Genomic DNA, 1,468 nt, shown 5'->3' on the forward strand with positions numbered 1-1,468 from the left:
TTTAAAAACTTACGGACTTCTCCACAACTTGAAACATTCGAATGATGAAATATTGAAGTATCTGGTAGTTCTCCAGGAATACACGGAAGTGTTTCAATTCCAATGGCTTCTTCAGAGAAATGGGCCAGTAATGGTAGCATTTGATAATTCCACCTTCTATCTCTCTGGTTATCATGGCAATAACATTCGAATTATTTTCCAACACCATTTGCCAAAAGTCATCTATGGTGCTCAGCAGTGGTCCTTGAGTAGCGATATAAAAATACTCTTCTCCACAATTGACTATTCTAATATAACTAGCATTGATGTAGTCCTTGCTTTTTCCAAGAGGAACGTGTGTTGAATCATCTATTACAGAAACAGAAACATCTGGTAGATAAAGGTGGGAGATACATCACACCCAGACTTCACGAAAGGATTTCACACATGTAAATCCATATATCTCTTTGACCAATAGAGAAGATGGCCTAGGAGTTTCTTTTCAAAATGGTTGAGTCCATGAGTTTAAATTATTTCCTCCCTGAAAACTATTGGCATGACCGAAGAAATATACAATTATGGGATGTTTATTTTTCAAATCAGTTTTTAATAAATGCAGAATGATATCATTAGCATCCAGGTACTTTTGGAAATTTCTGCTAGAAGTGGCATGGGCAAGGTTAAGTCAAGGGAAGTATCCTATAGTTTGCAACTGAACACAACAGAGGAGAAACTCTTTGTGGGAGTAAATGAGTGATATTATCCTGCAAATCTGAAACCTGCAAACCCAGAGCAGCAGGAGCCAGGGGAAAAAAAAAATCTGATAGTTGACTGCAGACAAATTCTAGGATTAATGGAATTCCACCACTGTCCCCAAACTAGACAGCCATATTTTATGTCCATTCTCAGCCTTCATCTGGTGATAGGACATGTTATTCAAAGCAAAGATATTGTGGCAAAAGGATGCTACCAAGGGGAATTGCTCCAAGTAATATGGGACTCATCTAACATGGACTGTTATAACAAATACGAGAGGGAAAACCAGCTATTTGGCCTACTAACCTTCACTGCTCCAGGAGTTCCTTCTTCACCTGATACAGACATCTGAAGCTCTGGTTCCACCACCATCCCCACACTGAGAGCAGAAACACACACAGCAAAGGAGGCCCTTCTCTGCCATGCAGCTCTCTCACCAATAACCTCTCCTTACTACTCAGAATCACATGGACCACTTATCTAGTAAATATGCTGACAAGACCTGAACAGGCATTTATATAATATCTGGCAGAACTCTTCTCAAATTTTAACATAGCACACAGAAACTTTCCCTTGTAAATATGAATGAACAGAAAAAAACAGCCAGGTGCGGTGGCTCACATCTATAATCCCAGTTACTCAGGAGACTGAGGCAGGAGAATCGCTTGAACCAGGGAGGCGGAGGCTGCAGTGATCTGAGACCGTGCCACTGTACTTCAGCCTGGGTGACAGA

This window comes from Homo sapiens, chromosome 10 (genome assembly GCF_000001405.40).
Source record: "Homo sapiens chromosome 10, GRCh38.p14 Primary Assembly".
NCBI classification, from domain to species: Eukaryota; Metazoa; Chordata; class Mammalia; order Primates; family Hominidae; genus Homo; species Homo sapiens.